This window comes from Homo sapiens, chromosome 7, assembly GCF_000001405.40.
Source record: "Homo sapiens chromosome 7, GRCh38.p14 Primary Assembly".
Taxonomy (NCBI): Eukaryota; Metazoa; Chordata; class Mammalia; order Primates; family Hominidae; genus Homo; species Homo sapiens.
Window position 1 is genome coordinate 95,396,471 of NC_000007.14, and position 27,602 is coordinate 95,424,072.

General features: G+C 37.7%; 1 protein-coding gene and 1 long non-coding RNA gene across 6 annotated transcripts in view; one reads left to right on the forward strand and one right to left on the reverse strand.

Moving 5' to 3' along the window:
- LOC107986822 (uncharacterized) lies at window positions 2-27,218 on the forward strand. Of its 2 annotated transcripts, none has more exons than XR_007060439.1 (2): window positions 2-558; window positions 21,846-27,218. It is a non-coding gene; the product is annotated as an uncharacterized LOC107986822 (long non-coding RNA). The 2 variants fall into 2 exon arrangements; XR_001745283.2 differs by lacking the exon at window positions 21,846-27,218 and adding an exon at window positions 1,508-1,679.
- PON2 (paraoxonase 2) overlaps window positions 8,392-27,602 on the reverse strand; it is a 30,167-nt gene continuing 10,956 nt past the window's right edge. The window contains exons 3-9 of one of the 4 annotated variants that reach the window (NM_001018161.2): window positions 19,772-19,827; window positions 15,842-16,007; window positions 15,183-15,273; window positions 13,431-13,631; window positions 10,517-10,598; window positions 9,649-9,777; window positions 8,392-9,018 (exon numbers count right to left, since the gene is read on the reverse strand). In NM_001018161.2, the coding sequence (NP_001018171.1) occupies window positions 8,860-9,018; window positions 9,649-9,777; window positions 10,517-10,598; window positions 13,431-13,631; window positions 15,183-15,273; window positions 15,842-16,007; window positions 19,772-19,827 (884 nt within the window). In that variant the 3' untranslated portion in view covers window positions 8,392-8,859. Of the gene's footprint in view, window positions 9,019-9,648; window positions 9,778-10,516; window positions 10,599-13,430; window positions 13,632-15,182; window positions 15,310-15,841; window positions 16,008-19,701; window positions 19,828-27,602 lie in introns of those variants that run through there. The other 3 variants (NM_000305.3, XM_005250453.2, XM_017012357.3) reach the window with 3 other exon arrangements.

A 27,602-nucleotide genomic window follows, 5' to 3' on the forward strand; every position in this document is an offset into this window, starting at 1 on the left:
TACCTGAGCGGCCCGGGTGCCGCAGCAGGGCGCTGACGAGTCCCGCCGAGCCCCGCCGCCCGGGTTCAAGGCCGCCTTCACGCCCACGATTCCTTGTTTTTTGGGCAGAGGTCAAGGCTCAACGGAGAGGGAGCCCGGGACCGAGTTGTGGTGGGAGTTTGCTCCTAACACCCGCGAAATCCTACCTCAATTCCTCAGATGGCCTGAGGGAGAAACCGGAGGGCCCGGGAATGGCGGGGAGCTCCAGTTCAGAGCCGGAACTCCGGACTTCTGCAAGGCCAGACGTGAGGCGACACTGAATTGCTCCCGAGACGCGGGAAGGGCGAAGGCAATCGAAGCGAAGAGCTTTAACTCATCTTCTCCAGGATTTGGGGCACGGGAACCTGTCTCCTGACCTTCGTGCCTTACCTCGGAGTGTGCTGCCCAGACGGACTTGTGAATAGCTGCGTCTGTCCCCATAGTTAACGGGAGAAGGAAACACCAGGAGAAAAGAAGGAAAAGACAGGAAACGGGAAGAGGAGCAGAGGCGAGGAAGGGGAAGGTCATTTCCTTGGCAGGGTAGGCCCTCTTTCTTCTAGGTCTTGAGTTCCTGCCAGGCAAGAAATGCTCTTTCCCCTCTCCTGATGAACACCAGGTTGGAGGGGGAGGAACTGAAGATGCGGGAAGACTTGGGGAGTTCGGGCAAAGTAGCACATTCAAGCATGATCTATTTTTATTTACGGACAGAAAGAAATATTAGTTCTGTTAGGTTCCACCGAGTAAACTATTTGTTGAGAGAGCAAGATTTGCCAATCCTGGGGGTATTAAGGAAAGAAAAGGTGGTCCCTGACCTATGGGATACATGATTCTAGTATGAATACGTAATTACAGGATGAATAATGAAGCCCACCGCTTATGCAGTACTGACTGTGTGCTTTGCCTGTGCTGACACCTATGTTAACGCATTTAATTATCAACACAATCTCTGGAGTGTGGGTAGCCTTACCCCAATTTTACAGGTGAGACCTGCAGCACAGATTGCTTATGTGGCTTGCTGTAGGTCAGGCAGCTGTCAAGCAGCAGACTCCAAAATCTGGGCCCTTAACTGAGCTGCCTCTACCATGCTGCCTCTAGAAAATCTATGGAAGAAGGGTTGTATTAAAAGGACAGTGTAACGTCTTGAATTGTATAGATTAGAGTTCTTGTTAAGATGACTAATGTTAAAAGAGTGCAAGCAGAGGAGGAATCGAAGTCAGGAGGGCTCACAGAGCTGAGGGGCCTGGGGTGTGATGTAGACATGCATGCAGGGTTTGGGAGTCAGGCTGCCTGGGTTTGGATCCAGCCTAGATAAAGTACTCAGCTTTATTGAGCTACAGATTCCTCTTCTGTAAAAGAACGTCCACCTCATAGGTAGCTTAAAATTAAATGTGATAATGAGTGTCAAGTGCTCTGCACTGTGCTTGATACGTTTTATGAAGTCAGTAAAGATTAACCACTAATTAATTCTGAACTTTGCTTGAGATTGTAGGCTCCTGTGGGAAGGACTCCATCGCATTGATCACTGGGTTTTCCCGTGCCATCCATAGAACTTTGTGCTTAATAATGACTCAATAAATATGATTAGATGGATGGATGTAAAATATGGACTTGGGAGAAAGAAAAATTAGAAGAATAAAAAATAAATGGAATGAATAATGAAATAATAATAGTCATATTATTATTTCACTCAGCGTTTGCATGCCTTGTCACATTACTTCTTATTAACCTTACCTACAAAGAAGTAAAGTGAATTGCTTGCTGCAAGTTTGATGGGACTAAAAAGAAGGAAAGTGAGGCTTTGAGGCTTAGAGAGGTAAAGTAATAATTCACTTAAGGTTACATAACTAAGTGTCAGTGCCTCCATCTGGACTCAGATCAGGTGACTCTAGAGCTCATGTTCCTTATCACTGTGTTTGCAGCATAGCATGAAGAAGGGGGTAAAGAAAGAAGCGTATTCTTGGGCAATTGATTGAAGTTCTGTGTTAGCTATAATTTGTTTAAAAATTCTTCACTTTAGGCAGAGGAGTCTCTGTGTGTGTGTGTGCATGTGTGTGTGTGTGTGTGTGTGTGTGTGTATACATTAACTTTAAACCCTAGAAGTGGTTAGTTTTTATTCGAATACCATAATCAGTAATTCAAATCCCCAGCATGGTAAATTAGCATTAAAGAATTCCAAACTTTGGAGGCCACTGTATCGAGTGTCACCATCTAAATCTGCTCTTGGCAATAGGCCAAATTGACTTGGTCAAGAGGCCACAGGTACATCAGTATTGTAAAAGGGGTTTGTTGACTTTGAAAGAGCAGGACAGATAAATTCAAAAGGCCTAAATTCAAGATCCAATTCCATTTGTAGTTGGCCCTTTAATCTTTTGAAATCACTTATCACCACCTCTGGACCCTTCTTTCCTTATATGTATAGTGGGGCTTTCAAAGAGCTAATGTAGACCAAATTCAATGCTATACGTTTAAACAGTAAGTAACACAATACTATATATAGATCTAGGGAGTCCCACACCATTGATAATCAAAATGCCATTAAGGGGGATGCAGAATATACATGTGGTATAATTCTAAGGTATAAAATTAGGGGAATTACATATTATCCACATATGTGTGTGTGTGTGTGTGTGTGTGTGTATATATATATATATATATAAACAATCTAGACATAAACTGAAGAGTAGTTACTTTGAGAGCAGAAGATTGGGGTCGTGGAGAGTGGGGAGGTCAGTGAGTATGGAAGGAGACTTTGCTTTTACTGTACGACCCTCTGTAATGTTTAAAATTTTCAAACTTTATATCTTGATCATGTTTACAATCGCTACATTTTTAATTTAAAAAGATTGTTTCTATCAGTGAATCTTGCCAAGAAAAAGAGGTGGCGATAGAGAAAAAGAGCAACAAATCAAAAGAGATTATGATTATATTGCAATAAAGCTGTTTTTTAAAAAGAGGATATGGATTTTAGAACATTAGGAAACATTGTCCTAAGCCATAGAAACCACTGTTTAAAACCTGGGTACGACTACATGGCATTAATGAGTCTAGTGCTGCTCAGAAGAGAGAAATGCTAGAGGACCAGATATTTGTATTATTTTAAGAAATGACTTCTATTATTTAGAAAATTTATTATTTTAAATTTATACTTATTTAAGTATTAAATATTTAGGTATATCTGAATTTAAATAAAATTCTCAATTTCATTCTGAAGATGCACTTAATAATGAAGTCAGGTAGTGAAAGTCTGATACCTTGTTTGGTGACTTCCTGCAACTCACCATGGGGAAGGTTCCCCCACTCAGGACTTCAGGTGCAACCTGTGGTGTGCTAGGAATCATCTGCGCTGAGTGTATTTAGCAGGATGAGCACCAGGGTTCCAGCAGGCTCACATTTCACTATGTAAGCACCAAGTGAATGGGGGGATCCTTGAGGGGCCACACTTTGCCAGGAAGGTTCTTTCCAGATTTATCTTCCACTTTAACTGTCTTCAGGGGATTTTTCATCAATATCTGGTAGCCCCTCAGCGACTCTAGTTTGGAACACATCTCAAGGTAGATTCAACATATTACATGAACTTGTCAGATTGTATGACAAGGAGAAGGAGTTAATTAAGTGGAGAAAGGGTGGTGAGGTTCACAGAAAGAGGTCGGGGTATCCGCAAGTAGGGGAATTGGAACAGAAATAGTCCAGTATGGATACAGCAGTGGTTCTCAAACTTCAGCAGGCCTAAGAATCACCTGGAGGGCTCCTTAAAAGAGAGATTGCTGAGTCCTAGACCCAGAGTTTGAGATTTGTTAGATTTGGGGTGGGGCTTGAGAATTTGCATCTCTAACAAGTTTGCAGGTGATGCTGATGCTGCTGGCCCAGGGACCATGCTTTGAGAATCACTGAGCTTAAAGATTTGGGAAGAAGATGGTGAGAATTGAATCTGGAGAGGAAGGCAGATTGTAGGCCAAGTTAAGAAACCTGAATTATATTCTAAGGGGCATTGGGAAGCCACTGGAAGTAACATGTTTTGGCAGGTGTTTTAGAAACATTGCTACACAATGATGAGAGTGGATTATGGAGCAGGTGGAGCACTTACCCTTCCTGGAGGCTAGGAGATAGTTAGATGCCTTTCTGGGTGAGATATGTGAGGGTGATTGGAGAAGGTGAGGAGATTGTTTCTCAAAGTTCTTAGAATTGTATGGATTTGAGAAATGTTTAGGTGGAGGGACTGGCAATTGTTTGGATATGAGCAAAGGGGTGGTGAGGGAGAGGGAGAAATGAAAGGTGTCTAGGCTTGGAGAATCTGCTAAAGAGGGCTGTATTTATGGATATGGGGACCAAGAAACAGAAGCAATATGAATAGAAAAACAGGGAATTCATTTTTAAACAATTTTTAGAGAAATGGTCTCACTCTGCTGGCCAGGCTTGAGTGCAGTGGTGTGATCATGGCTCACTGCAGCCTCTACTTCCCAGGCTCATGTGATCCTCCCACCTCAGCCTCTCATGTACCTGGGACTACAGCAGGTGCCACCATATATCTTATATATAAAGCTGTAGTAATTTTTTTTAAAGTTTTTTTTTTTTTAACATAGAGATGGGGGTCTTGCTATGTAGCCCGGACTGGTCATGAACTCCTGGGCTGAAGTGATCCTCCTGCCTCAGCCTCCCAAAATGCTGGGATTACAAGTGTCAGCCACTGTTCCCAGCCTCAGAGAGTCCATTTAAAGCTGTGGTTTCCATTTTATATTGTAGGAGAAATCTGGAGAGTTTTCTTCAAAGTGGAGTGACAAAAGTCATGTTTATCCTAATCATCATTTTCAGGCCTTGAATCAATTCATGTAATAAATGTATTTTTTATATTAGCCCTTTCTTAAGAAAGGTCTGAGTAATGTCTTCTGCACTCAATACTGCCTATGATGGGACAACCAGGTTCCATTTTAAAAGTTTGAAAATATCTGTACTGCTTTCTCTTCTAATGGAAAACATCATTTCCTGATGTTTTCAATCCCTGTCAAGAATTGCATAATGGATGATTTAGTTATGAACTGGAAAAATAATTCCCTCCTTTACACATGAAGAACTAGAAATTCATAGAAAAAGGCCAGCATCCTTGAAGGAAAAAAAAAGTTCACAGAAAAATAAATACAGATCTCCTTAAATATCTCAAAGTGTACTTAAACTCATAAAAAGAGAATGAAAATTAAAACACAGTAGAAGAAAAGTGCTGAAAAGCAGGGGCAGAAAGCTAAAAGAGAATGCTACTGGGATTCTCCCACCCAGCTCCTTCTCTCACACCCAGAAATCCTTCCCTGGAAAACAGTGTGAGTAATGAAAACTACAAGTAGCCACAGAAAGGTAGAAGTGGCTGGTGTGGCGGTGGGTTACTTTTAAGCTGTTACTTTTTCATTGCTTTGCTGAGTAGAGTAGATATTCACTAGCCTAGGTTGGCTGTGACTCCAAGATAGGACTCAAACTGAGCAAATCAAAGTCCAGAGAAAAGAATCAGCTTTATATGAGTTGCAATTAAGGATTAATCCATATGCAACATGAAAAAAATACTGTATTATAGCTTATATTTAATCTTTCTTACTCCTTGTATTAAGTATTCATGTTCACATTTGTTATAAAAGAGCTGAGGTTTTGTAAAAGTAAAAAAACAATTATTGTCACTAAACGGAATCTTGGAGTAAAAAGAATTAACACATACACACCTGTAAGACCTATATTCACCTCATGGTGTCATATCCCAATTACAGTTTCAGTTGTTTTCAATTGTTCAGCTCAGTATAAGATCAGAGAGAAGACACCATAAATAAGTGCACAATATACTGAGTTTGATAGAATTCCTCATGGTCCAGAGAAGCCAAAAATCAGAGATTATTCATTTTTTTTATTTCTAAGATAAATAATATATGTGCTTTTTTTTTTTTTTTTTTTTTTTTTGCTGTTGTTGTTGTTGTTGTTTGAGACAGAGTTTTGCTCTTGTTGCCCATGCTGGAGTGCAGTGGTGTTACCTTGGCTCACCGCAACCTACCTCTGCCTTCCGGGTTCAAAGGATTCTCCTACCTCAGCCTCCCGAGTAGCTGGGATTACAGGCATGCACCACCACGCCCGGCTAATTTTTGTATTTTTAGTAGAGACGGGGTTTCTCCATGTTGGTCAAGCTGGTCTCAAACTCCCGACCTCAGGTGATCCGCCCACCTCAACCTCCCAAAGTGCTGGGATTACAGGAGTGAGCCACCGTGGCTGGCCATACATGTGCTTATTAACTTACATATACTTTTGTCCAAATAAATTTTTTTAAAATACTTGCATGCTTTATTCAAAATACACTGTGAGTACATGTCTATGCTAATATTCTGTAGTATCATTTGAAGTGGCTATATTATCTTATAGAGGTGCCCTGATTTTGTTTTTAAAAATAAATATCCTCTGCAGAACACACTGTCAAGAGAATGAGAAGACAAGCAACAGACTGGGAGAAAATATTTGCAAGAGACATACCTAACAAAAGATTGTTATTCCAAATATTCAAAGCACTCTTAAAACTTAATAAGAAAACAAAACAACAACAAAAGGAAGATTTTTAAAATGGGCCAATGGTATAAACAGGCACCTTATCAGAGAAGACATACAGATAGCAAACAAGCATAATGTTCAACATTTTATGTCATCAGGTAATTGGAAATCAAAATGAGATACCACTTCATAATAGTATAATCCAAAATACTGACACCACCAAATGCTGGCCAGGATGTGGAGTAATAGGAGCTCTCATTCACTGCTTGGTGCAAATGCAAAGCAGTATAGCCACTTGGAATAATTTGGCAGTTTCCTTCAAAATTAAACATACTTCTACCATATGATCCAGCAAATTGTACTCCCCAGTGTTTTTTGAGGGGGTAGTGAAAGAGTACAGGTGTAGAGTTGTTACCTGGGTATACTGCATGATGCTGAGGTTTGGGATATGGATGGTCCTGTCACCCAAGTGATGAGCATAGTACCCAACAGTTAGTTTTTCAGCCCATAGCCTCATTCTCCCTTCTGTCTAGTGGTCCCCAGTGTCTGTTGTTCCCATTTTTGTCTATGTGTATTCAATGTTTAGCTCCCACTTATAAGTGAGGACATGCAATATTTGGTTTTCTGTTCCTGCATTAATTTGCTTAGGATGACCTCTAGCTGCATCCATGTTGCTGCAAAGGACATGGTTTTGTTCTAAAATTTGTAATAAATGCAATAGAAACCAAGTTTGTTTTATGCCTACTGTATTCCAGTACTTTTTATAAATGTAGCTTTTTAGATAGTCTGATATAATCTCATAAAATCTAAAACATCTAGTTCTTCATTTGGATCCCTAGGTCTGCAATATTTAATCTTGCTGTATTCATCTGTGACTTAGCATTTTCCCATGGACAATGTAAACAAAAAAGAAAATAATTATTTTAGCATGAAATAAATCCAATACAATATGTAGCAAACTACTTAAATATATAAATAACAACACAGGCCAAATGGATACAGGCCAAATTTAAGAATACTACTGAAATTTAAATTTAAAATCCATTAAATGATTCATCTAAAAGCAGAACTCAAACATATCTACAAAACATGAAGAAACTGTATACATCAGGAAAAACAGTAATAAAATACTAGTTCGTTCTATGGCAGTAGCATCATGTAGTGGTTAGCGGTACAGGCTCTGGCATCAGAAATAGACTGAATATCTGTGAAATGTTAACAGTGATATAATATCAATACTTACTCCAGGCTGCAATTAGGATTAAATAAGATAACGAATGTAATACTTTCATTGCATTGTTTGGCATATTGTAATTAACTGACAAATATTTTCATGATGATGATAGGGAAAAAGTATGAGAAGTGAAGTAAAGTGGTTTGATAAATTACAATGGAAAGAAACACATGAAAGTCTCTCTCTAGGGCTTATGATGATTTTATAGGAGGTACAGTGAGCAGAAAAACTCTCCCTCTGTGAGCTGGGCACGCGGCCCTGATCCTAGCATTGCTGCTGCTTAACCATGTGGTCACGGACGACTGACTTCATTCTCCTGGCTTTAGTTCACAGTTCTGTTCAATGAGGAGGTGGCAAGACCTTCCTGTCCCAACCCTTATTTCCTCTTTGTCTCTAAAGTGGACTCCCATTAAGGAAGAGAGCTGATGGAAACCTCCTTAGGAACTGGGAATTTGAGTTGCAATATTTCATTGATTTTTGTTGTTGTTGTTTCAAATTAAGAGTCCATTCACTTTCAGCTTTCCACAAGAGAAATTAATATGGCCATGCTTGCCTATCCAAACTCCATAAGGAAGCAGCTGCTTTCCCATTTCTCCTAGCCATATGCCTTCAGAATTAAACACAGACAAAACTGGGATTTTAGTTAGTCTTTAATATAACTCCAACTTTTTAATGGTAAACAAAGATGTAAGTACAAAACATCAAAATACGTTATCAGTAGTTCTAAACAGCCATAGTAGTCACAGTGCCAGAAGTGAGGTCACTCACATTTTAAGGAAATATAATTCACTCTATTTCAGTGGAATCCATGTTCTGGCAGTTGGAAGGCAAAGGTGAGGCTTACTTTGTGCAAAATGTATTCACTTTATTCGAAAGCAGCTTTCTTTTCTGTCCCTTGCTTGGCATTTTAAAGAACCTGTTCATTTTCCTTTTTTGTTAAAAGTGCTCTAAGAACTAAAAGGGCCGTTCCTTACTGGAATAAAATTAACTACACATGCCATACATTTCTGGGTCAATGTTGCTGGTTAAATTCCCTCAGAATTAGCAATTCATAGAAAATTAATTGTTAAGTTATCGCACTTTCATGCCAAAAGTACAATTTAGAGTTCACAATACAAGGCTCTGTGGTATAAAGTGCCTATGAGCAGCTTCCCATCATACACTGAGGCTACAGAACTTCCTTGGAGAACAGACCCATTGTTGGCATAAACTGTAGTCACTGTAGGCTTCTCAGATAGAATGTTCTGGATGCGGAGAACCTATTCAGGGGATACAAAGTATGAATATAAGACCACCGTACATGCATGTCACTCAATCATCAATAAGCCCTGTTTTCCACAATGACACACTGATTAAGGGGACATGCTGTTGAAAATAGCAGTTACCAATCTTTTTAATGTTTAAATTAAAGTACTTTCTCCAATCTTCAAAGAAAGTACTTTCTTAAAACCATCTAGTTATTCCATGCCAACACAGGATTTAGTGTTATTATAGCAATTCAGCTTTAATAGAAATACTTTCATACTAATGTGCCTACTTTCACACTACTTCAACATGAACAAATATCACATCATGTGGTGAGCTGACAATAAATCAGATATTTTAAAAATTGCCAGTATACCACCCAAGAAGGGCACATGTCTTTATAAAAATGCCTTTTGACTAGTTTCCACCATAATTTAATACATCAAAAGATTACCTTTCTTAAAGTATTTGAACAATGTAACATTCTGCCAATTATTGGCTTAACGCAATTACAAAACCACGACATAAGCTTATTATATTATTGCTTTAAAATAACTAAACAAATCATCCCTGTGACAATTTATTGTATTATTAGTTCAAAAGGACTTGAATAATTAAGTTTAAAAAACTGAAAATATAAAAACCTCTGACGAGGGAGGATTGTTCGGGTCATACACGAAGAGCTTCTGGCCATTAGGATGACAGCCTACCCAGATGTCCCCCGAGGAAGGATCAATAGATAAATTATCCACCAGTGTATCCAGCTCAAGTACCTTCCAAATGAGAAATTGTCAAAATCTAAATGACATGAGAAACTTGATTAAATAATTTAGAGGTAACCTTCCTGCCTCTATGCATGTGAGGAAATTACACATCGCCCTGCTTCCACCTTCTAACACCAATATTGCTTAAAAGGAATGTATTAAAAACTGGTTTGGAGCCACTTTTCTTCTTCCCTGAAATTAAGAAAGTTAGGGTGATAATCGGTCTCTGTAAAAATCTATCTTAAAAACTGAACTCCTTTTCCTTTAAAAGATGCACAATGATCAGTTAGCTCAAGGAACTCAATCAAAGCAAGATAGGAAATTCTTAATCAACCTAAAATATGTGTTGTTGAGTAGGAAGAAAATAATAATGGTGTGGAACCCAATTTCTACCTTCATGTATTATTGAAAGAACTGACACTGTGCATAAACCTTCATTTGAGAATTCATCTATTAGTATTTTCAATTGTGAAAATTCTTATTGGAATTCTTCCACTGCCATCAATACTTCATGGAATGGGCCCTAAATCTGATGAATATCACTCTCAACCTGCTGCTGCATGTAATCATGGTCAGTTCTTGAGATCGCTGGAAACAGGAGCTTTCTCTAGTTGTAGGGAGTATTTAAAAACCCAGAATAGCTACACTGGCATCCATATTTTGTTCTACGTGTGGTACTCTTATAGAAAAACTATGTCATTGCAAAGCATAATAGATTACTGTCTATATGTAAAAATAAATATTTTACCTTCAACTGAGTTAAATTCATATTAGTGTGTTTTTCCAAAACATGAATTTCATGAGCCAATATGTCAGCAACATAGATATACCTTTGCAGAAAGGACACAGTGGTTAGAGCTCCATGCCAATATAAAGCTTCATTAATACAGTGTGAAAGAATAAGTCTTAATAACCTGCCAAGAAGTTAATCAATCATGGGCCCTCAAGGAATGCTTGATAAAGGTCAATTTTTATTTAAAAAGTAAGCTTTCAGAATCAATTCAGTGGTGCTACAACAATCATGGAATTATTAAATTGTTTTTCAAAAAGCTTGTAAGGAAAAATAATATAGAACATCATTTTGAATATGAAGTCCATATTTGCCACTGAAATGACAATAAAACAAATGCTTGGCTTCAGAAGAAAAGCTTTTACATTCCACAATATAATTTGATACTTCTAATTATCATGTACATATAGAAATATATGGTAAAGAACATCTTATTAAAATAGTGATCATTCCTTAATATTCAATAAAATATTTATTAATACATAGCGAATTTTAAGAGTAAGAGATAAGTATCAATGCAGAATAATCTGTCTACTTCAAAGGTGAGTGAATTAACAGACTATTTTGAGGTAATTTTACTCATTGAATTGACTTTCCATGGCACCTGCTCTGTTGAGCAATTATGTGTGAAAAGCCATGAACTCAGTGTTGCAGCAGATATAAACATGAAGAAGACACAGCCTCTCTCCTTGAAAGTTTATAGTGTGTTGGAACAAATCTCACTGGTTTGTACACATTAAACACCTAATAAGCATGAGAAATAGTTCAGGTCTAGAAATAGCTAACTTCCGAGGACACAGAAAGGCTCACCAAGGAAGGGGCATCTGCAGTGGCTGTGTAAAGAGAGATGAGATTTGAGATGAGGACGGAGGAGGCACTTCCCAGGCAGAAGCAAGCACAAGAGCAGAATCACAGGAGCAAGAAGAGGAAGGAATGTTTAAAACAATGAGTTCTTTGTCTAAAGCATAGAAAGCATGGAAATAGTAGAAAAGGGAGGTTGGAGGTGGCCTGTTAAACAAAGTCCAACCCTTTACCCTGCCTTGATTTGATAAGCAATTGGATTCCACTGAAATCTTAGAATAATAAAGTGGCAACAAATGGTCAGTTCTGTTCCACAATTCCTGAGCATTTGCTTTGTGCCTGGCACTGTACTGGCATAAGGAGTCAAAGGTGAGGAAGACAGAGTTCCCTCTTTGGGGAGCCCTTCAAGGCTAATAGAGATAGACAGACAAAATTGGCAAGAGTGAAAAAAATCCAAGTAGACAGAAAACAAATTGGAAGAAAGTCTCATATGCTAGTCAGAGAGGATGACAACCTAAATTAGGCAGGTCTCACTCAAAGGGAAAGGAGTTTGGGGGTAGAGGAAGGAGGCACAGGTAGAACCAACAGGACCTGCCTACAGGCTGGATAGGAATGGTGAAAGAGGAGTAAAAGCTGATTCTCCCTTTTCATTATTGTTATTTTTTTGTTAGCTTGGGTGATTGGAAAGTTTGACTCTCATAATGGAAATATAAGAGTGAAAAACAGATTTGGCTGCAGAGGTTGGATCAGGTCAGTTAGAGACAATTTAAATTAAATGATTCTACATTCTTTTTCTATAGTCAACAAGAAAGGAGGAGAAATTGGATTACAAAAATAAGGGCATTTAGTTGTCAAGGAGTGCCAAATTTATTTTATGTTGTATTTGTAGTAGTTTAAATTTTTCAGTGTGCTGAGGCAGTAGATAAGAAAGCTATCAAGAATTTAATATCTTCTCTTATAGGTTGTGGTTGTGCATATAAAAATAATGAGATAATTCTGGAGGACAATTTGGCAATATCTATTAAAGTTAACATTTAAAAGAATCACACTGTTTGAGCAAATAGTTCTATTTCTAGGGGTCTGTTCTACAGAAAAGTAGCTCATAGAACCATTTAGCCAGTGCCCTGGGTGGGATTTGAACCCAGGCCTGTATGAGTCCAAAATCTGCAAGTTTAACCATTATGTTATAATACTCTCTTAGAGCCAGGTGTGGTGGCATATGCCTGTAATCCCAGCACTTCGGGAGGCTGAGGTGGGCGGATCACCTGAGGTTGGAGGTTCAAGACTAGCCTGACCAACATGGAGAAACCTCATCTCTACTAAAAATACAAAATTAGCCAAGCATGGTGGCGCATGCCTATAATCCCAGCTACTTGGGAGGCTGAGGCAGGAGAATCACTTGAACCCAGGAGGCGGAGGTTGAGGTGAGCTGAGATCATGCCATTGCACTCCAGCCTGGGCGACGGAGTGAGACTCCATCTCCAAAAAACAAAACAAAAAAAAAACACTCTCCTAGGGACTTTTTCTTTAAAAAAAATACTTGTTTAAAATTCCATGGTAAATAAGAAGTATAAAATATTTTTTATGTAGAACTCCCCACCCCTATACACATATCCATCAATAGAGAATTGGTTAAATTAGTTTAAGATCATCCTTATAATGGAATAATGTATAGCCAATAAAAATAATACATTTATTTAAAAGGAAATACCTGATACTTCAATATGTATGCATCAGTATGATCACACTTTAAAATTTATATTTATAAAATTAAATTTGACAATGATGTATTCCAAACTTTATATATTATATATAAATACATATATATTACTGTATTATATAGTTTACTTAAATATGGTATTGTATTTGCATATAAATACATGTGACTAAGTATATGTAAATATATATACAAAACATATATAATTATATATATAGTGTATCTATATATTATATGTATAATATACCATAAATGTCAAGAAAACTATTTTCACATTGACAAAGAAAGCAAAGTAAAGAATTTGGCCAGCACCACAACTGAAGAAAAATGAAGATATTCTATAAGGGGCCATACTTATCATCAGGTGAAATATTGATCCCATTTGCTGAATCAAATCCTTCTGCTACCACTTTAACTTCATTTGGACTGTAGTAAACAACATTTGCCCAGTGTAAGTTCAAGTATGTTTCTAAATACTTTAAGAAAGGATCAGAGAAGTAGTGGTCATTTGTGGCATAGAAATGTGCCGGTCCAACAGCTGTGATGTCATTCACACTGAAAAAGAAAAATAGCATGTGAGAGGAAACAAAAGGCCTGTTGGTCTCCATATTAAATATTAAGTACTCATAAGATTTATGCAACATGTGCTTTAAATTTTTGGTAAGAGGAAAAGACGAGCTAAAAATCACGACTATAGTCATATACAATATACTATAATATTGTTGCCAGAGAACAATTTTGTATGGTACCAGGTAATCTGAACACAGGTCATTTAGCAATTATGGCAGGATTACCATAAGAGAAGAAAGAACTTAGTGCCATCAGGGCATGTTTTTTGACAGCAAGAAATGTAGGGTTTAACAATTATACGTAAGGACAGAGCTGTCCACAGTACAGAGCTGGAGAGAGCCTGATTGGCTGGTGAGCTGGTTAGGCAGTCAGTAACATTTACCTAGCTTCCATTTACTCAGTTCCTGGATTTTTCTAATTTCCCTGGCTTAGTTATTAGTCAAACTAAGGTTGACTGTTCAATTTCTACCTGCTTCACAAAGCTGACATGCCGAGAATGAACAGGCACTCAATAAACACTTGCAGAGAGATGGATGATAAAATTGCCATAGTACAATGCTTCAGGTGAGAGATTTATATGCTAAAAACAATTTCATTTTAAGACCAGTTAGGTGAGGGTGTTATTAAATTTAAATTCCAATTACTCTATGCAAAAATTTCTGAAAGAGCTGCTTTATTCTTTGCTAAATGAAAAATATAGAGCTACAGGGAAGGTAGGTCTCATTTTTCTGAAAGAGCACCATAATGCTTGGATGGTATTTATGCTCCTATTTTTTTTTATCAAGTGCATTTTTGGAAGGAATGATTGGAAGTTACATGCTTATGCCCTAGATAGGCATAGATAGGCCCTAGATAGGCAATATTTTTAATTTCATTAGAAATGAAATTTCATTAGAAATTAAAAATATTCATCAAGTTTAAACTAAAAGAAGCAGTAGGCTAATACACACTGAACTGGGGGTGGGGGTACACATGATTCTCTCTTAGCCACATTTTCAACCAGCTTTATGTTCTTGAAGTGTAATGACTCACTCTCAACTTGAGTGGCTCTAATTCTGTGGGATTACTAGCATGCAACCATCACTAACCCTATGAAAGCGATTGGTATAAAGTCCCATGCAAAGCATACAAACCCAATAAAAAACAGGCCATTCTTCCTTGGCAAGACACTCATCTGGGTGATGAGTCATCTAAGATGGAGGGTGACAGCAGGAAAAAATGTTAGGGTTTGCCTTCTACCCTCAAGATGGGCCTGAAGAGTATCACCCTGTAGTCGGGCACTTCATCATTTCTCAAAGGAGTCCGCATAGAACAGTGAATAGTATGAGTGACATCAACTTTCATATGCCATGCTTGCCCTGGTTTATAAGGAAACTATACACACACATTTATAAATAAGGAAATATAAGCTCTTTAGCTCTTACATATTAGCTAATATATACATTAGCGCTTATAAAAGATGACAGGACAACCCACCATAGGGATTGTTTGCAAATGCTGGGGATAAATTAGAGAAGGAACAAAATGAGGAAGTACCTTGGAAGAAGCTCATGTTTGACTGTTTTCAGATGCAACAGAGAATTTTCTGCTTCTTCAAATTTAAAAATTTCCACTGTATTCTTGAATTCTGGGTGGTTTACAACAAAGAGATAAACTGTGTCATCTAAAGAATTGAAAGAACAGAGTTAATTTACAAGACATAACTACGGGACCTCTGGGCAGGCACTGACATTTAAATACCACAGGCAAGGAAAGGTTGAATGTATAAGCTGTTAGACGACCTAACAGATCATTCTCTGTCTTTCCTATTGCTGTCCGTCTGGTGTTATTTCTGATCATTGGCTCCCTGACCTTTAAGAAAGTGTTTCCTACTCCATATACAGAATTCATGCATAATCTGTTTCTACTTTAATTCAAAAATACAGTTCTTTTTTAAATGTGATGATCGTAGGTATATGAAAAGATTATGAAATCTAAACATTCTTTCAGGTGTTACCTGTTAGGAATTTCAAAATGTAGCATAACTTACTGCCAGCTGAAGAGGCAAATGAACAAGTTCTTTGTAATGAAGAATACAGAAATCACTCATGAGTTAATTGTTCTTCTCTTCCTAGAAATATGATCCAAATCTATTTTTCACAGTCATTTGTGAACCATCACACGTTACTAAATGTTGGTAGCCCATTGGCTCTTACCGTTGTCTATGAAAGTGCTGATGCCATGTGGATTGAATGAGGCCAAATCAAACCCACGACTGATTCTTAATTCCCGTGCCCTTGGTTTTTCTTCTTTTAGATCCATCATTAGTATTCCTCCAGGCTTATCTGGTGCAAAGCTGTGGAGTCCTGGGAATTTTAGACCCTTTCCAAAACGGTGAAAAATGTTAAATACAAAAGCTTAAGTATTTTTATGGACTAACATGGGAACTGTACATGAAGGATAAATAGAGATTGTGGTTAAAGTAGTGGCATAAAGCCACAAAAACTCAAAAAACAGAGAAAAGATAACAGAAAAAATAATAACGGGGAGGTGGAATACTGAAAGCCTGAAAATAACTGAAAAGAAGATCAGGGATTTATTCTCTTCAGAGAGTAATCAGAAGGTTGGTGGACTAGGTGATTCCAGGGAGAGCTGAGGGTGGAGAAAAGTGACATCTACATACTGACTGTGGAAATTTGTTCACTGCTAGATCCCAGTGCCTGGAACAGTGCCTGGCATACAGTCCATCCTTCTCCCACTGATTCAAAATATCACCTTTATCATGTGCTAGATCTCTGACATTTACATATTGGTCTATTTAGGGACTCTCTGTTTTGTTATTTTAATGTCTCATGTCTATTCCTGTGCCAATATAACACTTTTTAAATTACTACAGCTTTAGGTCAGGCCTGGTGGCTCATGCCTATAATTCCAGCACTTTGGGAGGCTGACGTGGGAGGACTGCTTGAGGCCAGCAGTTTGAGACCAGCCTGGGCAACATAGCAAGACTCTGTCTCTACAAAAAAAAAAAAAAAAAAAAAAAAAAAAATTAGCTGAGTGTTATGGTGAGCACTTGTAGTCCTAGCTGCTCGGAAGGCTGAGGTGGAAGGACCTCTTGAGCGCAGGAGTTTAGGAGTTCAGGCTGCAGTGAGCTATGATTGCACTACTGCACATCAGCCTGGGCAATTGAGCCAGTCCCTGCTTCTCTAATGACAGTTTTGTCTTTTTCTTTTCTATCTCACATTTCTTTTTCTCGTTTTACTGAATTACTAAGAACTCTAGTAGATTACTGATGGTTGTGGTGTTGGGTATTTTCTTCCTGTTCTGAGCATTAATGCAAATGCAGCCAATGCTTCACCATCAAGAATGATGTTTGCTGTAGTTTTGTGGGAATTTTCCTTATCTTTCTAGTTTGCTTGGAACTTTAGGAATGAGTATTGAATTTTATTAAATGCTTTTTGGTACTCACTGAGATGATATAGGTCTTTTCTCTTTTAAATCAGTTAATAAATTACCTATCAGTCTATCTAAAATGGTGATTCATCATTACATTCTTAAGGTAAAGCCTTCTTGGTGATGTTAAATTTTATGTGAATGCACTACCTAATTCAGTTTACTAATACGATGCAGTCATATTTACACAAATTTAGGCACACAATAAAAAAGTCTTACTTTATGTATAAAATTGGACATAAGAGGAAATCTCTCCAATTAAAAAAGATTATCTACAATTGTATATTTTCATGGAGGGCAAGCCTGGTAAGTAGAACAAACTGGAATTATGCTATTGTTACATGGCAGTGCCACTTCAGTTAATCCCTATTCTTTATGAATGTCCCCAAAACAAAAGCATGATTTACATGCAAAGGAAGCACTATCAGATGGTGATAACTAGTCATGGTTATGTTCGCACTCCTTATTTATTTAAGTATTTTTTCTCTTTTTAAAAATTTATTTTTAATTATGATAAAATACATACAACATTCATCACTTTCACCATTTTTAAGTGTACAGTTCAGTGGTGTTAAGCACACTCACATTGTTTACATTTTTTATATTTTATTCTATGTCATCCAATTCTTCATGAAGTGTGACATTAGTTTTGAGGTGACCCTCAACCCATAACTGTAAAATAGGTTGGGTTAGATGAGCTAAAATGCTAGGAAGAAGAATGAACAACCTCCACAATGTAGGACCTCTTTATTTAGAAGAGAGTACACTCTAGGTTTTATTAGAGACAATGCCAAGTAAATGAAAAACAGCAGCAAACTGGGAATGTTTCTAAATTTTAAAAAAAGTCAAATGAGCAAAGGAGGGTAACAGAAAAAAAGCAGAAAAAGTTCTATTGATATGGCTATAAGATCTTTGTAACTATAACATGCCCCCAAGCTAAAATGGCTGTAGATTTATGTGTTTGGAGACCTCATCCCTCCTACTTCAGATTTATTACTATGGGGGCTGGAGAGAAATCTTGAAATAGGTGAATTCTAGATTATAAAAATCTCCAAGAACACATCCTTGCAAAACAACAACAAAAAACACAAATAAACAAATAAAAAAATCAATGCAACTGCCTTCTACTTTATTCAGAATGTTTGCATCTTTACTTATGAATATTTTAGACTAGTGGTCCCAGTGGTTTTTCCTAAGCCACACATGTGCAAGCATGTGCTCCTAAACAAACCCAGAGTCCTACTATAAATATCACTTTATTCATTCTGTGTAGGCAATTAAATAAAACATTCCTTTTAAAACCTTATTTTAAAAACTAAATACATATACTGGTGTTTCTGCTAAAGCCCACAGTATCTCTTTATTGCCTCAGTGGTAATAACCAGCTGCTCACTGTCTTTCACATAAAAACCATCAGGAACCTGAAGAGTGTTCTAATTCTCATTCTACTCCAACCTGAGTTCTCTCACCTTTCTCATAAGTCTAACAACTATTTTATTAGTGTGGTGACTCCCTTCTAAGTATCTCCCAGTATTTCACATCCCTCTTGAGTCTCAGAGCCTGAAAATAATGGATGTTGAGAGGAAATGGAATAATTACAGTCAGGTGTCAGAGTTGGTTACTTCTTCCTCCAGAAAAACTGGACCTATGAAGATGCCAAGAACTCCTATGTCTGCCCAAGCCAGGGAGGTAGGTGGTCAGAACCTCCTCATCTGTCCCCTTATCTGGATTTCCAATTAGAATGGACATTGTTACAAGCTAGTTTCAACAATATTCACAACAATATTCACAAGCCAATTGTTTTTAAAGTCTTTCTATTGTATACCCAGAAAGGATATTGTTTTTCAGCTTACAAGAATCAAGGCAAAATGAAGGGTGTAAATAAACTCAATGACTTTCCACTTATGATTGGCTATTCAGGGGAAAAAAGAAAGAAAGCAAAAGGGCAAGGTTGGTATAATATTTGAAAATAAATAATAATGGCAAGAATATTTGCTTCAAGTTGAATAGTAATAGAAAGATGAGTAGATGCTGTATTTAAAATAGTATAATGTTAGTATTGAGTATCCACAGTAAGACCTCAAATATCCCTCTTAATAGTGCACATTTAAAACACAGATTGCGCTGGGCGTGGTGGCTCACTCCCGTAATGCCAGCACTTTGGGAGGCTGAGGCAGGCGATCACCTGAGGTCAGGTGTTTGAGACCAGCCTGGCCAACACGGCGAAACCCCATCTCTACTAAAAATACAAAAATTAGCCGGGCATGGTGGCGGGCGCCTGTAATCCCAGCTACTCGGGAGGCTGAGGCAAAAGAATTGCTTGAACCCGGGAGGCGGAGGTTGCAGTAAGCTGAGATCATGCCACTGCACTCCAGCCGGGGCAACCAGAACAAGACTCCGTCTCAAAAAATAAAAAAAATTAAAAAAGAAAAAACAAAACAAAACACAGATTGCATTGGAATATTTTAGTGCAATGCAATGGGGAAATAAAGAACACTATCTCAATGGGCAAAGAGTCTTCATCTCTACATTTAGAAAAGCTGGAGGAAGTTTTCCAAGATCTTGTTTGACCTCTCTTTTCTTCAGAATGCATTTTGGAAAATGAATTTTAAAAGCAACTTACTGTTCTGCAGCCCTCATCAAATACCCTTGTATCTCCTCTGCTGAATTTGGGGAAGGAAGAAGACACTCACCACACTAAAAAAAGCCAGACCATTGGGAAGTATGTCAATATCTTCAGAGCCAGCTTCTGTAAGTTTAAGGAACAGATAAATGTCATGTTCAAGTTCTGTTATTTGTTACACAGAGCATAACTGGGACTCTGTTTACTTTATCAGAGTGACTGTATCTTTAGGGATGGTTCTGATGTTTTTTCCAAGGAACCATTCTTTTTAATAAATGTCAGTTTAAACCCCTTCCTGAAGTGAACTTCTGACTTTAAATGTTAGATATTTTATGTTTACTCAAATCAAAGTCAAGTTATCACCACATTTCCAGCTATAATACTGAAAAAGTTGACATCTGTACACTCTCATGATAAACATCCAGATGTCCGTATAAAAGTAATTGACATCAGGGGAATATTACTTTCTGAAGGAAGGGCTCATAGGCATTTAACCATGCAAATATCCTTGTCCTCTTCTTTGCTCATTCAATCTGAAGCAAACAGACATCTTTCTCATTAACAGAGGTAAAACACCTGGGATTATATATTCCTTCTTTTAAAAACAGTGCCTACTTGTGCTCATAAGCAAAGAAAGCTTTTCTATTTAATCTTTAAATTTAGGCTTTAAATTAGAGAAAAAAACTAGCAGAAGAAAATTAATGAAAAATACCATGCACCTAAGCCAGTTGAAGTTTCTAACTCCTGTCTCTGAGGCAGGCTACAATTACTATTGATTGTTTATTGACTGTCTGCAGTACACTCCACACAGCACAGCAAATAATTAGACATAAGACTTTCCCCAGCAGTCTCACTGTATAAATTCTACAGACAGATAATAGACCCAAACACAAGAAAAGAAGAATAAAAATGGCTTAGATTAAGCCAAACCATGACACATTCTTTGAGTCTACAAAATCCAATCTTCCTCTTTAAGACTTCTCCATAGGATTTCTTCAAGGTTATTTCTAGGTTGTCAAAACCAAACAGCATCTATCTATCCAGCCATTTTGGTCTTGCTTCATGAGTTTGCATTTAGCCAGTTGCCTCCAGTGTTGCTTGCTCCATCGTAGTGCAGAAAAACAAAACAAAATAAAAATGCCAAGAACTTCACATTGTAAAGATGACCCATCTGCCTGCTCCTCAGAAAGAAGATACACAGAAATAAGCTTAAGCATGGCATAGCGGAGGAGTTCTCAATCTGGGGTCTGTGGATCACTTTTGGGCTTCAAAGTATCTGTGAACCCTCGGAAATTCTATGCAATGCAAAATGTCTCATGTATGCACAGATGAGAACGTTTCTGTAAAAACGGTCCTTGATTTTCATCAGATTCAAAAAAGAGACTGTGATTCCCCCAAAAAGGTTAAGAATGACTAGACTCTAGTTCCACGGTGGTTGTCCACTGGTAATAAGTTAAGAATCAGGGGAACGCTACACCACATACACATGTATACACAGCACATACACATGTACACACAGACACACACACACACACACACACACACACACACACACCGAGAGAGAATTCTAGTCCAGGTTTTGCTTTTCAGTCCTATTTAGTAGAAGCTCAATTAATTAAAATTTGTTTTTCCTGAAAATTATTTTAGAAAATTTAATTTCCAAGTATACACGTGGAAAAAGAAGATATATAGAAAAAATTAACAATGCTTCTTTGATAGGATTATGAATGATTTTTATTTTTTTCTTTATACTTTGTTTAAAATTTTCTACAAAATTGTATATTTTTTAATAATTAAGGAAAGAGAAATCTTTTTTTAAAAAAATACATTTATTTCAACCATATTGTAACTTCTGTTTAACTCCATTGCCTAATTCCAATGGAAAAAATGTATCTATCTGTAGCCTTCTTTGGAATATTTTCCAGATCTTCTCCCCGTCATCATTTCTATAGCCACTACTGCAGGAAGGTTTTATCATCGTGTATCCCCTCTTCGGTGTGATTATGTCAGGAGCAGTCAATGCTAGAGAAATTTTTGCTCCTCTAATTTAATAATAATAACTAACATACATTAGGTACACCAAGTACCAGGCTCCTTGTAAATACCCTGCATACAATATCTCATATGATTATCTTTTATTTTAGAGTGAAGACTATTGGAGGCTTTGGAAAAGTTAAGCAATTGCTCAAGGTCACAAACTGGGAAGCTGGGACTCAAAGCCTTTGCTCTGACTTAAAGGCAAACAGAAAATATTCAAGTTAGAATTTAATGAATTTCCTCTCTCAGAAACATCCCCTGATTCCTCTGTAAAGCCACTTCACTTGTAAATTCAATTGTGGTCAATTCCATATGTTGTCTTTTTCCCCTGAAGTTTTGCTTCCAAGCCTCTCACCAACATCTTTACCAATGAATATCCTGCACTTTTCTTTAAAACCTCTTTCAAAACCTTTTCTGTCTTTTTCGTATTTCAACTTATTTTATTTCAAAACAAATTTATTAAATCTTTACTTTTTTTATTCTAGTGATATACATTAATTTCAATATTGCATTCCAGGTGATATTTATGTAAATATGTGAAAACTTAATACTGTGGGCTGATTTGGCACTGTTTGTCACTCTTATTGTGTGCTTGACTCTCTCCCTCCCCTTCATCGGTTCTCTCTCTTTAAACTTTTTATTATGGGAAATAGACACAAATCAAGAGAATGGTGTGGTGAGCCCTTATATACCCAGTACCCACCTTCAACAGTTATCAGCTCATGGCCAGTCTTGTTTCCCTTGCAGTCCTACCACTTATCCTCATCCTGTGTTATTTTAAAGCAAATCTGAGGCATCATATTATCCCTAAATATATTTATACAAACCACAATATCATTACTACACTAAAAATTCACAATAATTCCTCAATATCATCAAATATCTAGTTAGTGTTCAAATAGCCAATCATGTTTAAAAGGTGTAGCTTTAAAAAATTACAGTTTGTTTAATTCAGAGTCCAGGTAAGGTCCCACACATTTCAATTGATTGATGTGCCTCTTATTTCTTTAAGTCTACCCCGTGTCAGTCCATTATTGCCTGTGGGCAGGAGGACTTAGCTCCCTGGGTGCACTCAGAGCTTTTGGTAGCCAACACTCAGGGAAGTTGGGGGGGATCTGGGGAGGGTATCCACTGCATCCACTGCTCAGGGGAATTAGGGGGAGAATTTCCAGGCACAAGGAACAGCATGAGCAAAAAAACACATGAATGGCACAGCGTAGCATGACAAACCCTTTCTTTAGAAAGTCTCCTAGCTTAGCACATTTAATTTCCATCTCTTCTTATTACTTTAGCAATTATCTGTGTCAGAGGTGGCCAAGTGTTCACCAGCATCCATGTTCCCCTTCTTCCTTTTTAGCCTTTTTAGCAATAGGCACGTAGCAACACAGCTATAGATAACATTGCCCACCCTTTCTGGCTGACAGATGTGGCCATATGTCTAAGTTTGGGTCAATAGGATGTGAGAATACAATATATATGCAACTACTGGGTAGAAAAAAAAATCTACATAAATTTTCTTTCAACCCCTTCCTGCTGGGAAATGGCAACAAGCAGAGTTCTAGTCTTAGATGAAGACAGCTGTGTTGCTTCATCAGCATTTGCCCCTGAATGACCATATGGAACACAGTCACCTAACTACCCTAGGCCATTCACTTACCTTAAGACTGATGAGAGAAAAATAAAAATAAACATCTCTTTTCTAAGTGACTATAATTTTATAACAGCAACGCATCCTTTACTATACCCAATAGAGCATCCCATATGTAACATATTATTTCCTACTTTTCTGGTTCACTCATCAAGTATATACATTAGTCACCCTGGGAAAAGACACTATATTGGAAAGTGAATTTGCAAAAGTTGCTTAACCTCCTTGAGCCTCAGGTACTTATCTGCTAGAGAAAGAAAAGACATATCTATATCTCACAGTGGTTTTTTGTTTTGTTTTGTTTTCCTTTTCTCCCATCAGTAGACTGTAAAGTACTTGATTATAAGGGCCACAAACTTTAATGCTTTTTTCCCCTCAATCTCCCAAGCAGCAGTTATTGTAAAGGTCTTGACTGCCAAGTGCATAAAATTGTTAGTTATCTTGAGAAAGACAGTCCACTCAAATTTTGAAGGCCAGACATTTAGAAAATCAGATTTTTTAACTTTTAAGCCTCAAATAAAGTTAACTAGCTCTTGACATTTTAATATGCAGATGTTAATCTGCCAAATCTTGGGTGTATAAAAGCTTAGTTTCTGTCTATAAGATAGATCGGGAAGGAATTTTTGAAAAGGACTAAATAGTGAACTTATTTTCTGACCCACAGAAGGCACACATCCTGTATGATATGTAGTCAATAACTATGATTTATTAAAGCAGACACAATATGATATGATATATATAAAGCACCCAAAAGTTGCACATAGTTCACTTCCAGTGATGGTGACTGAAGCACGGTAGTGTGTGCATATGTATGTGTGTGTTGATGGGAATCAAGGGCAAGGGGGAAGGAAGGTTCACCTCTTAGAGGGATTAGTTGGCCTCAAGTGCATAGCTACTACTGTTTTCAAAACAGAAAATAAGAAACAGCCCTCTCTATCATAAAAAGTCACTTTTGCCTGTATAGAAATGTGTGTCCAGCACATTGTTATTTCTTCTTATCAAAGACCTGTGAATAAGCAACTGTTGTTAAAGATATATAACCAAAAGTTATTATTAACCATTATGCATCACTAACATAGCATTCGACAAACGTTCATATGGTGTGTGCTAACCACAGGGCAAAAGCAAAAAAGAAAAAAAAAAGGACAATTCTAATTAGATCTAAAAATGTATCCCAAATGTGCTTCTAATCACTCATCCTCTCCGCTCTGTTGCCTTTTGAAGTGCCTCAGAGGCATTTAACACTTCACAAGAGGGGCCATAGGTGACATATTTCCTCATTCTTTCCAATTCCAGACAGCAGCTCACACACATCACAACATAAAGGTCACAAACATAGACAGATGCCTGTTCAGAATACAAATGTTGCTGGGCTTGTTTTTCTCTGAGGAGCGCTCCATCCCAGTGAGTTGTAAGAGGAATGCACTTGGCAGTCTGTCATGTAACATGGCTGGTTGTGCCCTATTGTCTACTCTGAGACTTGTATTCACAGAAGGTGGGCTTCCCAGGGCCAAGGGCTGTTTAATAATGTGACAATTATTAACTCAGCAGCAAAAGTAACCTAAGAGATCACTGGCCCAAACTCCCACCCTTGCCCAACATCTTTTACTAATGCCATCTGGCTTTTGCTGAGTGACCAGTTCTGAGAGGGCTCTTCTTGATTGCAGCTGGAAGGCAAGATGAAGCTGCTAAGTTACTTGGGACTCTTGAACTGTCTGCATGATCCAGCACAGATGTAGTCAATCTGCTATTTGATATGAGTTTGCCTCCTCCCACTTAGTGTTTGGGCAATTGAAAGAAGGAAGGGAAATTCCAGGACAGCCAACCAGTCTAGGGGAGGGGAGGTAGAACTGGGGAAATACAAAAGTATCAATGAAAAAAAGGAGAAAGAACACATAGGAAACAGATGCCTAAGGAATGAGAGGCAGATCAACCTGAGGAAGCTGATTTAAAAGAAGAAAAAAAGAAAGGGAGGCAAGCAAGGTATTTGTAGAGAAACTCTGAAGGTGGCACTGTCAACTGATGGTTTATTTTTACTAAAAGAGTGCTGAGAACTCTGTCTGGAGTGAATGTGGTTACAACTATGAGGTACTGAGTTTATTACTGTTGCCAAATTGAGAGCAACTTAGCAATGACTGTCAAAACTCTAAACACATATTCTAAGGGAACAACAATCCCATTGTTAAGGACATATTCTACAGACACACAAACTCAACAGCAATGATGTTCACTGATTTGTTCATAGTTGCAAAAAACTGTAACAACCCAAATGTACATTAAAAGGGGAATGGTTAAATAAATCATGGAATGTGAAAATATTAAAAAGAACAAAGTAACTATATATGCTGATGTGGAAAGCTGCTCACACTGTTTTAGGAATGAAGAAGGTTGTGAAATATTTACACTAAAATTCTATTTGTGAAAAAAAGAGTCAATATATTTGTTTGCAAATGCACTGAAACTATCAGGAAAGATAAAAAAGGGAGCTTTATCTTTGGGGTTATTTCTGTTGGGGGTGATGAAGAGTTTGATGAGAGATTTTTATTTTTATTTACTTTCCATTTTATATCTTTCTATATTGTTTGCACATACACTGTTTATATGAACTTTGCACAAAAAATACTGTGCAGTTGTGAAGAAAAGGTAACATTATGTACAAACATAAGTTTCCAAAACCTAGTATTAAGTACAAAAAGCTAGTTTTGAAATATTATGCATAATTTGACCTCACTTATGTTTTTAAAAATTATGTACAGGAGTATTCATAAAAAGAAAAAGATGGAAGGACACTCAAAACTTGTTTAACAATGTTACCTATTCAGAGAAGAGAACATTTCCATGTAACCCGAGTTTTAATTTCTAAAGAGTAAAACAAAATATTAAATTGTCTCTCCTACCTCTAGAGAAGGATGTTGTTGTAAAGGACTAGAAGTGACTCAATGACAGTCTAGTTATTTCCACACTGTGGCTCTCAGAGTAAGATTATAAATAAATGGTCCCAGGCTTTTTAAAGTCTAAAAACCATTAGTCTAATCACAAACTCATCATTATAGGTGACAAATACAAAAACCAACTTTGCCTAAGGTTACATTGTGGCAGAATAGAACTAGAAACTAGGTGTTTTGACTGCTAATTCTTTTTGTTTCTAATCATACCATGAACCATATCTAAGGAAAGCCAATATTGGCTGGGCTCAGTGCCTCATGCCTGCAATCCCAGCACTTTGGGAGACCAAGCTGGGAGGATTGCTTGAGGCCAGGAGTTCAAGACCAGCCTGGACAACATAACAAGACCCTGTCTCTACAAAAATAAAAAACTAGCCATGAGTGGGGGCATGTGCCTGTAGTCTCAGCTACCTGGGAGGACGAGGCGGGAGGATCGCTTGAGCCCAGGATATCAGGGCTGCAGTGAGCCAAGATTGCGCTACTGCATTCTGGCCTGGGTGACAAAGTGAGGCCACCTCTCAAAAAAAAAAAAAAAAAAAATTAAAATTTAAAAAAAAGGAAAGCCAATATTTATTGTTCATTGATAATCTAACTACTAGTCTATTATGTACTAGGGACATGTACTTAGTAGATGATAAAGGGTAAAAGACAGCAAGACACAGACTCTACCTTGGAGAAAAACTGCAAACACACCAGAGAGACCCTCAGTGCTGGAGAAGAATCTGGACAGATCCCTCCTTATCTATAGCAAAATTGGGGCTTGCTCTTAGGAACCCCTACTCAAAGACTCAGACTCCACAATACATCCTACATAAAGTCAAGGGAAGAGGGAGACTCCCCCTCTGCAGTCATAGCTTAGAAGATAAAATAAAAACAAGTTTTTACAATACATATTGTGAAGTGCCGGTACATCAGTCCGTTCTCAGGCTGCTAATAAAGACATACCTGAGACCGGGTAATTTATAAAGGAAAGAGGTTTAATTGACTCACTGTTCCGTGTGGTTGGGGAGGCTTCAGGAAACTTACAATCTTGGTGGAAGGGGAAGAAAACACACCCTTCTTCACATGGCGGCAGCAAGGAGAAGTGCCGAGCAAAAGGGGGAAAAGCCCTTATAAAACCATCAGATCTCATGAGAACTCACTCACTATCACGAGAACAGCAGCACAGGGTAACCACCTCATGATTCAATGACCTCTCACTGGGTCCCTCCCACAACACGTGGGGATTATGGGAACTACAATTCAAGATGAGATTCGGGTGGGGACACAAC